Source organism: Homo sapiens, chromosome 16 (assembly GCF_000001405.40).
Source record: "Homo sapiens chromosome 16, GRCh38.p14 Primary Assembly".
In the NCBI taxonomy this organism is placed as follows: Eukaryota; Metazoa; Chordata; class Mammalia; order Primates; family Hominidae; genus Homo; species Homo sapiens.
This window is the reverse complement of record NC_000016.10, coordinates 54,951,207-54,963,328: the sequence shown is the minus strand read 5'-3', so window position 1 is coordinate 54,963,328 and position 12,122 is coordinate 54,951,207. Positions and strand designations below refer to the sequence as shown.

Genomic DNA, 12,122 nt, shown 5'->3' with positions numbered 1-12,122 from the left:
TTTTACCCTGTGCAAAAAGGGGGTAGGGACACTCTGCAGAGAGGCGCCTGGCAGGGGTAGCAAGGATAAACGTTCCAGGAGGGTGCCTTCTCTCCTGGCCACCAGAAAGCTCTGGAAGGAGGTCAACATGTTAGCTTCCCTGCCTTTGCTTCCAAAGCAGAGGCACGCATGGAAGCCGTAAAGGTCTCACTCCCAGGGGAGAGCTGCAGATCATTCACTCATACTCACCTTGTCATCACCCAAGGATGACACTAACTTTCTCCAGTTCCTAAGCAAATCCAGCTCTACCTTCAAAATTCATCCAGGATCCCCCGGCCTTACTGTCTCCACTGCTTTCACTCTGCCAGTCTCCCACCCAGATCATTGCATCAGCCTTCCTGCCTCTGTCTCGGCCCCTCCACCCATGGCCACCACAGCTGGAGGGATCATGCCGCTCCTCTGCCCTAGCTCCCAACTTACCCGAGGAAAATCTAAAATCATGTCCTGTAGGATCCCATGCCACTCCCCGTCCTCCGTCCTGACCTTTCCTTTTACTGCTTTTCCCCTCATTCACAGACAGCATCAGGGGCACCTTTCCTCACTGTCCAACCTAGTATGGACACCCCCACCGCCACCTCTCCAGCCAACACCATGAAACTCCTGCCTCACCCCGTGACACTCCTGCATTTTTTCCTTCATAGCGCTTAACACTATTTAAAGTATTGTTGGTGGTGAGTCTGTAGTTGATTGTTGATTGTCTGTAGTTTCTTTATGGAATGTAAATCACATAAGGCCAGGGACCTTGTCTGCCTACCTTGCTGCTGTACTCCCAGAATATAGAACAGAGTTTGACATAGAGTAGGTGCTCAGTGAATGTGTATTGAAGAAAGGGAGGGAGGGAGGGGGGAAGGGAAGGAAGGAAGGAAGAAAGGAAGGAAGGAAGGAGAAGGGAGGGAGGGAGGGAAGGATGGAAGGAAGGAAGGAAAAAAGGAAAGAAGAAAAGAATGGAAGTAAGAATGGATGGAAAGAAGGATGGAAGGAAGGAGGGAAGAAAGGAAGGAAGGAAAGAAGGATGGAAGGAAGGAGAGAAGAAGGGAAGGAAGGAAGGGAAAGAAGGGAAGATAGAAAAAAAGCAAGGAAGAAAGGAGGGAAAAAAGGGAGGGAGAGACGGATGAAAGAAGAGAAGAACAAAAGTGTTACACATAAGTAGGAGACAACACCACACCGTGAAGCTACCATCAACACTGTAAAACATAAACAAAAAGAAAACCACCTGTTATGATCTGCAAAGACTTCCACAGAAGCTGTCCATCCTTAGCTAGGAGCTCTTACCAGGAGCTCTGAATGTAGGACTTGGAGTCATCAAGGGAAATGTACCTACCTCTTCTTGGGAGGAACAAGTTTATCTTTCTGCCTGAGTCAAATGAAACACATTCCCCCTCCCAGCTCTTTTGGGGTGGGGGTTGTATTTTGGGGGTGAGTTTTGCTTCTCCTAGAGTGCAAGAGGGTGGCAGGCTTTTCTGCCCTAAAACTGTGGGGCAGAGGACTGCAGATTTTGCTGGAGTCTCAGGGGAGGCCTGGGCTCCCTGTCATTCTGAGTGCTGGCTTCTGGGTTCCACCTGGGGATGGAGGCTGCGGCCTGCTTTATGTCTCTAGTTTTCATTGTCTTGAGCACTTACCTGGCTGGGATAGTCAGACATGACGATGAAATGTACCTTCACTTGTGAAAGAGAGAGAGACAGAGAGAGAGAGACAGAGCCACAGAGAGGCAATTCCACCAGCAGGCCTGTGACCTGCTCCCCACCTCTCCCTCTCTAGCCCCATCTTGGAAAAAAAAAGGAACCAGAATCGTTGTATTTGGCCAGTGCTCATGAAGACAATTATTTATTTCCTGAAATCATTTTTCAAGAAGCCACTTCCATTGTATTTGTTATTTGCATGATAACTTAATCACCAACTTAGAGGCGGGAGGCAAAAAGGAATGGAGTCAAGGATGTGGGGGATAGGAGATGAAAAAGAGCCTGCTGAAAATTATGCTGTCTTCTTTGACTTTTTTTCCGATTGCTTCAATATGCCTCCCTTCTCTTCCCCTTCTCTCTCAATCTCACTCTCACTCCCTCCCCATCCCATCTCCCCTCCTCTCTGTCTTATTAATAGCCCTCTCCTCTCATCTCCCCACTACCTCTGCCCTGGCTCCCAGCCTGGCTCACAGACAAACCTGACCCCTAATAATTTCTGACACTGGGATCTCCTCTGTGCAAAGCAAGGGGCCGGCCTTCCCAATCAGCAACATCCTTTATTGGGCATATCCTGTGGGCTTCCATTAATGAGAAGCCACTGAATTCCCCAGGCTGCCAAGCCTCTGGGGAGCATCTCATTGTCTCATTCTTGGGTTCTCAGCATCTCAGCTGAGGATGCCTCCCAAACTCTGGTCTGGGCTGCACCAGAGAGCATCGGCTTTTATTCTGGTGCTTTTCAGAGTAGAGGAGGCTGATGTTTCCCTGGATACAACTCTCCCATACCTAGATGCTATTTTTGCACAGTGTTTCATGTCCCTTAGGCCTAAAATGGGCCTTTGTCTAGCACACAAGGCTGAAAAGAAGAAGGGCTCTGGAGCCAGACTGTACCACCTACCAGCTATGTGATGCTGGGCAAGCTACGTAGCTTCCCTGGACCTCGGTTTCCTCATCTGTATAATGGGGGTAATTTGTATGAACTTCATAAGGCCCATGTAAGGGTTGCATGTGTGAATACTCACAAAGCACTTAGAACAGTGGCTGACACATTATGCATACACATTCAGTGCTAGCTATGGTCAGCATCTATCATCTCCACTCCTGGGGTATGCACATGAAGGAGGTGCTGTCTGGCCTGGACTCAAAGAGAACAAGGGTGTTAGTTTACCGCTTGGGCAAATCACCTTTTCTCTTTGAATCTCTGTTTGACTATCTCTACAGCGCAGGTACTGATAGTACCCCTATCACAGAAGCATGGGGAAGATGAAATAAGCTAATACATGTTAAGAGCAAAGACTCTAAATCCCGGCCTTGTGAGTTCAAATCCCAGCTCTGCCATTTGTCAGCTGTGTGACCTGGCACAAGTTGCTTAACTTCTCTGATATCGCATGTTATAATCTTGTCTCTCTCACATATGGCTATTAACGGTATGAAATAAGTTAATTCATGTAAAGACCTTAGTACACAGTGTCTGTCACAGGGTAATACCCTGTTGGGTATCAGTTACTACCATCATCCAAGTAACATAGTCCCTGAAAACTGTTTTCTCACCTGCTTTCTCTCTCTGAGGGATTTCTTTTCTGCTTACTCTTTTCCCATTGGGTGGCTTGGGGCAGAAATTCCTAGTTTTTAACTAAAACCCAAATCATTCTGGCAGACTCTGTCAAGCAAGTCTTACCTCTGGAGACAGAAAGGGGAAGGTGAGCCATCAGGAGGGGAATTAATGTCAATAAAACCTGGAGAAGGTGACGAGAAACTGAAACTCCTAAAGCCAGGCCTTGGATGCTGGTCCTGGCTAAGCCAGTATCTCACAGTGTGACCTTGGACAAGCCCCCGAACTCTTTTTGGCCTCAGTTTTTTCATCTGTCAAATGGGGAGGACTCCTTGCTTCCTTCCCACATGATCACAAAACTCAAATAAGATAACCAGCAAGATGGCCTGAGACGGGGAACAGTACCACAGAATCCAAGCTGCCTCTTCCATTTGGGTTCTATTGGCAGCAAGGCTACTCAGGGACCTCATGGAATGGAGGGCAGGGGACAGGACCTAGAGGAAGGACAGCTGGTCTCCAGAGGGCAGGGATGGGAGGGTGGCTCTGGCCCTAAGGCAGGAGTGTGTGGATTACCTGTCTACATGGGCTTTACCAAGCTCAGGGGTTTGTGGGTGGTGGGGGCAATCGGCTTCGTCAGCTGCCCCAGGAGTACCTTGTTCCTCTACTTTCACACCTCTTGCTTTCTTAGAGTTTGCTCCCTTAAAACATGAACTTGCATATGGCCTTGCTTGGGTTCTGGGTCCTCTGTCAACATCATGGATCAGAAATGTGCCTGCCCATGGGCCCAGGGAGCTAACACAAATGGGTCCAGTGGGTGTGCGAGAGTGCTATCACTCTCGCTTCCTCTATCCCTGTCCCCAAGCCCCTTCTCAACGTCTTCCCCAGCCACCTCCAATCAGGCCTCTCTTCCTGCACTTTCCCTCCACCACCCTCAATCAACAGAACCACCATGTCCTCCTCTCTGTTGATATCACAATGGTGGCCAATGGATTGGGATGTTTTTCCACCTAAGTATTACACATTTTTGCAATGAAACAGAAAAAGAGTTGAGCCAGAAGTGCAAGTGAGAGTCTCTACCTTGCAGTACGACCTAGAGCAAATCCTTTTTCTCCATTTTGACCTCTGTTTCCTCATCTGTAAAATGAGTATAAAGTAATGTGTGTTTTCCATACCTTATAATGGAGGTAGGGAAGAGGGAGAAATAAGTAACTCTTCAGGATCAAAGTAGATAATGAATTAAGAAATACTAAGCTCTAAAATGTCATATACATGAAATAGATTGATGCAAACATTTGTGCAAACACAAAGAATGTCCTACTCTCAGGGAATGAGACTGAACATTGAAGAGGAAACCAGGCTGGCGCGGTGGCTAATGCCTGTAATTCCAGCACTTTGGGAGGCCGAGGTGGGCAGATCACAAGGTCAGGAGATCGAGACCATCCTGGCTAACACGGTGAAATGCTGTCTCTACTAAAAATACAAAAAATTAGCCGTGTGTGGTGGCAGGCACCTGTAGTCCCAGCTACTCAGGAGGCTGAGGCAGGAGAATGGCGTGAACCCGAGAGGCGAAGCTTGCAGTGAGCGGAGATCGCGCCACTGCACTCCAGCCTGGGAGACAGAGCGGGACTCTGTCTCAAAAAAAAAAAAAAAAAAAAAAGGAAACCAAGCAGGCAGTCTAGATTGCAGCTGTAGCGACCTCTGTCTATTGTTTAGGGTTCCATCAGGCGATGGGGCAGCTCTTTGGGTAATCAACAACTTTATCAGGTTGGGACAATCACAATCTCCTCATCCCCATTCCACTGATGTGAGTAAAGCTTGTTGAAACCAAGGTCTAGAACATGGAAAGAGCTCCCAAGCCAACTGGGGCTCAGAACTGAGAATGTATGTTCATATCTCCCAGAGAAAAGAGGTCATCAGCCCTAAGCCGAGAACCAAGCACAGGGACCCATTCATTCAATATTTACTCCTGTGTCCATTCATTTTATAATAAGTTAACATCTGTAAAGTACTTAGTACAGTGCCTGGCACATAAAACGTGCTATGTAAGTACACATCTTCATCATTCATTAACCTATTCACTCACTCACAAGCTCACTCACTCACTTGGCTGGGTTGTACAACTGCAGGGATTCCATTCACAGGCATGCAGGGCCCCTGCTCATCCCCTCTTTGCATTTAGACTCTGGGCCAGGTCCTTTGGGCTTCAGAAATGAATAAGAATCCAGTCCTCAAGAATCTCACAGGCCAGTAGAGAAGATGAGGGTGCCTATAAACATCAGTAATTCCAACATAAGCTGGGAGACAAGAAATAATTACCACCCTCCAACACACACACAAAGGAATAGGAGGACCAGACAAAGAAGAAGGAGGAGGTGGAGGAGGAGGAAGAGGAGGAAAGGGGGGGAGGAGGAGGAGGAAGAGGAGGAGAAGGGGGAGGAGAAGGAAAATTGCCTTCTGGGCCCAGGCAGAAAATCAGTCAATTAGGAAAGCATCAGAGGTGAAAAAAAATTCAGGAACACCTGCCCCACCTGTAGGGGGCAGTAGTTAGCCATCTCCAGACAACTGTCCAGGTCCCAGATTGCCAGGTCTTCTGACTTTTTTTCTTTTCTTTTCTTTTTCTTTTTTTTCTTTTTTTTTTTTTTTTGAGACAGAGTTTCACTCTTATTGCCCAGGCTGCAGTGCAATTGCGCTATCTTGGCTCACTGCAACCTCCGCCTCCTGGATTCAAGCTATTCTCCTGCCTCAGCCTCCCGAGTAGCTGGGATTACAGGCATGAACCACCATGACTGGCTAATTTTGTAATTTTAGTAGAGGCGGTGTTTCACCATGTTGGTCAGGCTGGTCTTGAACTCTTGACCTCGGGTGATCCAAAGTGCTGGGATTACAGACGTGAGCCATCGTGTCCGGCCTGACTTTTCAAAAGAAGTTGCTGCTGGGTGTGGTGGCTCATGCGTATAATCCCAACACTTTGGAAGGCTGAGGTGGGAGGATCACTTGAGGCCAGGAGTTCAAGACCAGCCTGGGCAACATAGCAAGACACAGACTCTACCAAAAAATTAGCTGGCGTGGTGGTGCATGCCAGCTACTCAGGAGGCTGAGGCGGGAGGATCCCTTGAGCCTGGCAGTTTGAAGCTGCAGTGAGCCATGATGGTGCCACTGCACTGCAGCCTGGGGCAACAGAGCAAGCCTGTGTCTCAAAATAATAATAGTAAAATAAAAATAAAAGAAGTTGAAAATTAAAAAAAAGTAATATTTTCTGCTTTTAAAAAATACAGCACAGGGCCGGGCGTGGTGGCTCACGCCTGTAATCCCTGCACTTTGGGAGGCTGAGGTGGGTGGATCACCTGAGGTCAGGAGTTGGAGACCAGCCTGGCTAACATGGTGACACCTCATTTCTACTAAAAATACAAAAAAATTAGCTGGGTGTGGTGTTGTGCTCCTGGAATCCCAGCCACTTGGGAGGATGAGGCAGGGAGAATTGCATGAACCCAGGAGGTGCAGGTTGCAGTGAACCAAGATTGCACCACTGCAATCCAGCCTGGGTGACAGAGAAAGACTCCATCTCAAAAAAAAAAAAAAAAAAAAAAATACAGTACAGGACTAACAAAAGGGCACCAATTGACAACTTTGGTTTGAGCTGATTTATAAGAAGAAATAAATCCCTTCCCTGGGAAGGTTTCTTGAAGGCTTGGTAAGACTGACAAATGAAGATGAGAAGAAAGGAGTCCTAGGCAGAGAGAATGGTGTGGTCAAAGGTATGGGGTGGGGCTTTCCCAAGGCCTAGAAGAGTAGGATTGGTAGGAAACTTAGAGACAATCCAATTCATTGATCTCATTTCACAGAAGAGGAAACTAAAGCCTGGTGGGTTCGTTCTTTTTGGCTAGATAATAGAGGACATGAGGTGAGGCAGAGTTAGGAAGAGTTGATTGGAGATAAACTGTAGAAGACCTTGAATACCAGGCTAAGGAATTTGGGTTTGAATATGCCTGTATGCCTATGAGCTGACACTTCTGAGTACTGACTCTGTGCCAGGCACCATCTCATTTAATCTTCATAGTACAATTACTATCATGCCCATTTTACAGATGAAAAAATTGAGGCTTAGAGAGTTTAAGCAACTTGCCCAAGTTCCCACAGCTCATAAGTGGCAGAGTAGGTCCTCAAACCTAGGCCTTTCTAACTCCCAAGTTTGTGCTCTTGGCCACTATGTTGCTATGTTGTACTGCAAGAGAAAAATGGAGCAATAGGTCTTAGAAAGATGTTCTATTGCCTGGACATAGTTCTAAATTCTCTAACTCATTGATTCCCAGAGCTCTGGGAATAGATTTGAAGATTAGGTTTCCTGAGAAGTCTCTCCCCTTCCCTTTTTAAACACAGCTGTCTTTAAGGATGGGGAGGAGGAGTGTTTTAAACAGGAGTTGTTTAACTAATTGCCAATTATCTCTGAATAGGGTATGGTTTCCAACAGCTGTAAAGGATTTAGGTCCCCCATTTTTGCCTACTGTTGCCAGCGCTTGGAGTGTGTTGGGATATTCTTGACCTCTTGCTTCAAAGAGGCAAACCAGTGCCTCACCCCTCCTCCGGCCACACAGCCCACCTCAGTCCCTTTGTACTGACTGGCTGGCTTAGGAGGGTACTGACTTTCTGGGTAAAAACTCTCTCCCTTTGAGTGCCAGTGCACAGTACTTAGTGGGGCAGAATTCTCCCATGGGACTTCACACCTATGCTGTCATGCCCAGCATGTTTTAACATCTCTTTTGAGTGCAGAGGGTTCTTGCTCAAATACGAGACTAGACTTTGCCTCCTCCATCCCAGATCTAGCAGAAAGCTCAAAAGAAAATCTTCTGAGATGCCAGAAGACCCCAGTGTGGATGGGTGATGTTAATTGTCCCTTCTGGCTCTGTCTGCTGGATTCCTGGGACTAGGCTGAGGGGCAAACCTTTGTAAATGTTAATCTCCTTATGCTTAAGATACCACACTGTCTTTGATGTTCCCAAACATGTTGACTCCTATCTTGGTTGAGGGTGTGCGGCCCAGACAGGCCGAATGCTTGTTTTGTCTGTTGCCTTTCTCCAGAAGACAGCAATGATAATATGTTCACCCCAGGCTGAAGCATGAATGAGGCCTCCTTTAATGCCAGGTTGGGAAGGGGGCAGAGGGTCAAGAGGCAGTGACACTGGGACACTGAGGGCCACTACACTCCCATCCCTAGAAACCAAACCTAATTTGAGTCATTTTCTCATCGAAGCCCTGCTGGATTCAAGTGGATAACCCTGTCCATTATGAACTCCTCCTGTTACTATGGAAGGGAAAAAGGAAAAATGTTTTAAAGTCCATTCATATTTCTATCAGTTAAGGTAATGCTAATTGCTATAACAAAACCAAAAATATATAATGACTTAAAGACAATGAAAGTTTATTTATCAAGTCCAAAATGAGCACTACGCATTGGAGTTGGCTTTCCTCCAAATGATGTATTTGGAGGAAAATACATCAGGAAACCGGATGTATTCCATCTTGTGGTCCTTTTATCTTCAACACATGGCTTCCAAGTGGCTGGGTTCCTCTGCAGCAAGCTGTGGGAGGGGAAAGAGAGGGTGGAGAAGATGCACCCATTTCTTAATTGCTGTTGCCCGGAAATAACACATATCACTTCCTGTCATGTTCCATTCATTGGCAAGAACTTGTCACATGACTTGATCTAGAAGAGAGGCTGCAGAAAAAAATAAAAAATAAAAGAAAACAATAAAAAATAAAACAAGAAGAGAGGCTGGGAATTGCAGTCCCTAGCTCATAGCCACTTCCCACTCACCACCTGTGCTATGGAAATGGAAGCATGAATCTTTGGTGTACTATCAGTCTCTCCATTACATATTCAGCCATGAGGAGACAGCTATGATAGAGGAGGAAGAGAAAGCAGTTGACATGGAGCCAAATGGCATAGGTTCAAGTTTCAGAACCTGGCTATGTCCATCTTGGGGAGTCACTGTACCTTCCTGAGCCTTGGTTTCCTAATCTGTAGAATGGAGACAATGTAGAATGGCAAGACATAATAAGGGTGACCATGTGTTATACACTATCAAACATTCTACCCGTGGTCACCGACAAAGTTTGAACTTTACACTATTTTAGAAAAAAATCTAGTTGACAAGCAGATGGATTTCAAGTCTCCTGAAAAAAAAAAAAAATGGAAGAACTAGCAACATTGGGCCTACATTCCTACATGGGGACAATCAGCCAGAGCTGAATGTAGAAGAAGTATCCCTGTGAAGGTCCCCACGGTCCCCACCACTCCCACTGGCCTGCTCTAATAACTCCCATGGTCTGTCTGGCCCCTATTAGCAGATGCGTCTGAGACTCCTGAGCTATACAGTGTCCCATATGTTAATGATAATGATCTCACTCAAGCTTCAGGAATGATTTACTCCTACTTTTTCATTCAACAGAACTTAGTCATTTCCAAATATCCACCCCAGGCGCAGAATCTTGTGCATTGGCTTAATTAGCTGATCAGCCCTAAAAATTGCTTATTAACAACTAAAGCTGATGCATATAATTTTTTTAATTGTCCATTTTGTTGCTGTTGTTGTTGTTTGAGACAGAGTCTCACTCTGTCGCCCAGGCTGGAGTGCAGTGGAGTGCAGTGGTAAGCTCACAGCTCACTGTAGCCTCAACTATAAAGGTCCAAGTGATCCTCCTACCTCAGCCTCCCAAGTAGCTGGGACTACAGGTGTGCACCACCATGCCCAACTAATTTTTAAATTTTGTGTAGAGATGAGGTCTCCCTGTGTTGCCCAGGCTGGTCTTGAAGTCCTGGGCTCAATCGGTCCTCCCACCTTGGCTTCCCAAAGAACTGGGATTATAGGCGTGAGCCATCGTGCCTGCCTGTCCATTTTTTATCTTGGCAGAGCATTATGTTATGAATACCATGCCCCAAACTCCAGAATCTTTTTAATTGTCATAAGATAATGAATGGAAATTTCTGGAGAAAGTTTTATTCCAGAACTCAGAGCCCTGTGTGTCCAACAATATGATCAGGAAGTTGGCCCCTGCTGGGACCAGTACTAGGAAGAATGAATGACTGACAGCTGTAATTGATTGGCACTAGTGGGGATACCACCAGCATGACTTTGTTGAGGTAAACTGGTTATCTCCTGCCAGTGTCCACTTGGATGTCACTGGGAAGGCTGGAGAAGAGCAATCATGGAACCCTTTTAATGGTCTGTTGACAGAAGGTAAGTTAAGAGATAGAGTTACAAGACTGCTGGCCAGAGCAAGGCTGCAAGAAGATAGAGATGGAGAAAGGGAGGAGAAAGGAGGAGAAGAGGAAAAAGAGGAGGAGGAAGAGAAGAAGGAGAAGAACAGAAGGAGTAGGAAGTAAAGAATTATTCATTTATCATTCAGGGTAGGCTGAGGTATGCTACTCTAGCAACTGATCCAGTATCTCAATGGCGTAAAATAACAAGAGTTTATTTCTTGCTCACAGTACAAATCCATCAAGGGTCAGCAGAGATCTGTGCTCCTCGTTGTCCTCAATCTGGGACCCAGGCTGATGGAGCTTCCAACATCTGGAACATTATTATGGGAAAGAAAGAGTGGAGTGAATCATGCACTGACTTTAAAGAGCCCACCTGGAAGTGACACATATCACGCCTACTCACATTTTGTTGACAAAGAAAGTCATACACCATAGTCATATGTCATGCCCCACTCAGAACGAGTGAGGAAGTGCAATCCTACCATGTGCTCAGGAGAAGAAAAAGTGGAAAGTTGGTGAACAGCCCCAAAATCTACCTCCCCGAGGATCCTGGGATTCTGGATCTGGAAGGAATCCATACTAGTTTGGACTCTAGGTTGCAAATAATAGAAGGTGAAACTCCAGCTACTTAAATTAAAAAAATATATATTGACTCACAAAACCAAAGGTCCAGTGGCAGATCTGTCTGTCTTCAGGCAAATCTTAATCCAATGGCTTAACACCTCTGAGATCTGGTCTCTTTCCATCTTTCAGCTCTGTTTACTTCCATGTAGACTTTATTTTCAGGTTTCATAGTCCCAGAGTTCAAGTTTAATGGGGGGAAAAAATTCCACCTCTCTTAAATTTTAATAAAAATCCTAGATCTAATCTCACTGGGCTAAATAGGGTCATGTGCACATTCCTGAACCAATCACTGAGTCCAGTGGGATGAAATGTTGGGCATGACAAAATCATATGCCTAGCCCTGGAGCCAAATTGAATTAACTTCATCAAAAACATATGGACCTGGGGAAATGGAATGGTGGCTCTCAAGGAGAAATTCAGGGTGCAGGAATGGAATCTGTGTGTCCCAAAAATTAAACAAGATAACATATATCCACTACAGAATACAGATATTCTCCAACCCAGAGGATTACCAAGTATTGTTTTGTAGACATCTACAGGGACTGCCCAGAAAGGCTGGGAGGGGACTCCTGCAGTCTCCAATCTCCATTTCAATTACAACAATTGTGCTTTGTTTGTTATATATTAGGATTCCACGTAAGATTTCTTTGGAACAAAAAAAAGAGGATCTTCTGCTTTAAAAAGAGAAAAAAAAGGCTGGGCACCGTAGCTCACACCTGTAATCTCAGCATTTTGGGAGGCTGAAGTGGGTGGATCACTTGAGGTCAGGAGTTTGAGATGAGCCTGGCCAACACGGTGAAACCTTGTCTTTACTAAAAATACAAAAATTAGCTGAGCATGGTGGTGCATGCCTGTAATCCCAGCTAGTCAGGAGGCTGAGGTGGGAGAATCACTTGAACCTGGGAGGTGGAGGTTGCAGTGAGCCAAGATCATGCCATTGCACTCCAGCCTGGGCAACAGAGCAAGACTGCAT

General features: G+C 46.0%; 1 long non-coding RNA gene across 1 annotated transcript, besides 2 other annotated features; it reads right to left on the bottom strand.

Moving 5' to 3' along the window:
- Window positions 5,678–5,972: a silencer, noted in NCBI's record as "tiled region #5485; HepG2 Repressive non-DNase unmatched - State 13:Ctcf". NCBI's record gives its function as "represses a minimal TATA promoter and a strong SV40 promoter by Sharpr-MPRA in HepG2 cells {active_cell/tissue: HepG2}" and the evidence as "EXISTENCE:reporter gene assay evidence [ECO:0000049][PMID:27701403]".
- Window positions 8,667–11,829, bottom strand: LOC105371277 (uncharacterized). The gene is made up of 2 exons (XR_001752189.1): window positions 10,752–11,829; window positions 8,667–8,980 (listed from the first exon to the last, which is right to left on the bottom strand). It is a non-coding gene; the product is annotated as an uncharacterized LOC105371277 (long non-coding RNA).
- Window positions 10,505–11,704: an enhancer, noted in NCBI's record as "P300/CBP strongly-dependent group 1 enhancer chr16:54985537-54986736 (GRCh37/hg19 assembly coordinates)". NCBI's record gives its function as "activates an origin of replication core promoter dependent on BRD2, BRD4, P300/CBP, MED14 and CDK7 cofactors, with strong dependence on P300/CBP, by STARR-seq in HCT116 cells {active_cell/tissue: HCT116}" and the evidence as "EXISTENCE:reporter gene assay evidence [ECO:0000049][PMID:35650434]".
- Window positions 11,830–12,122: the final 293 nt, after the last annotated feature.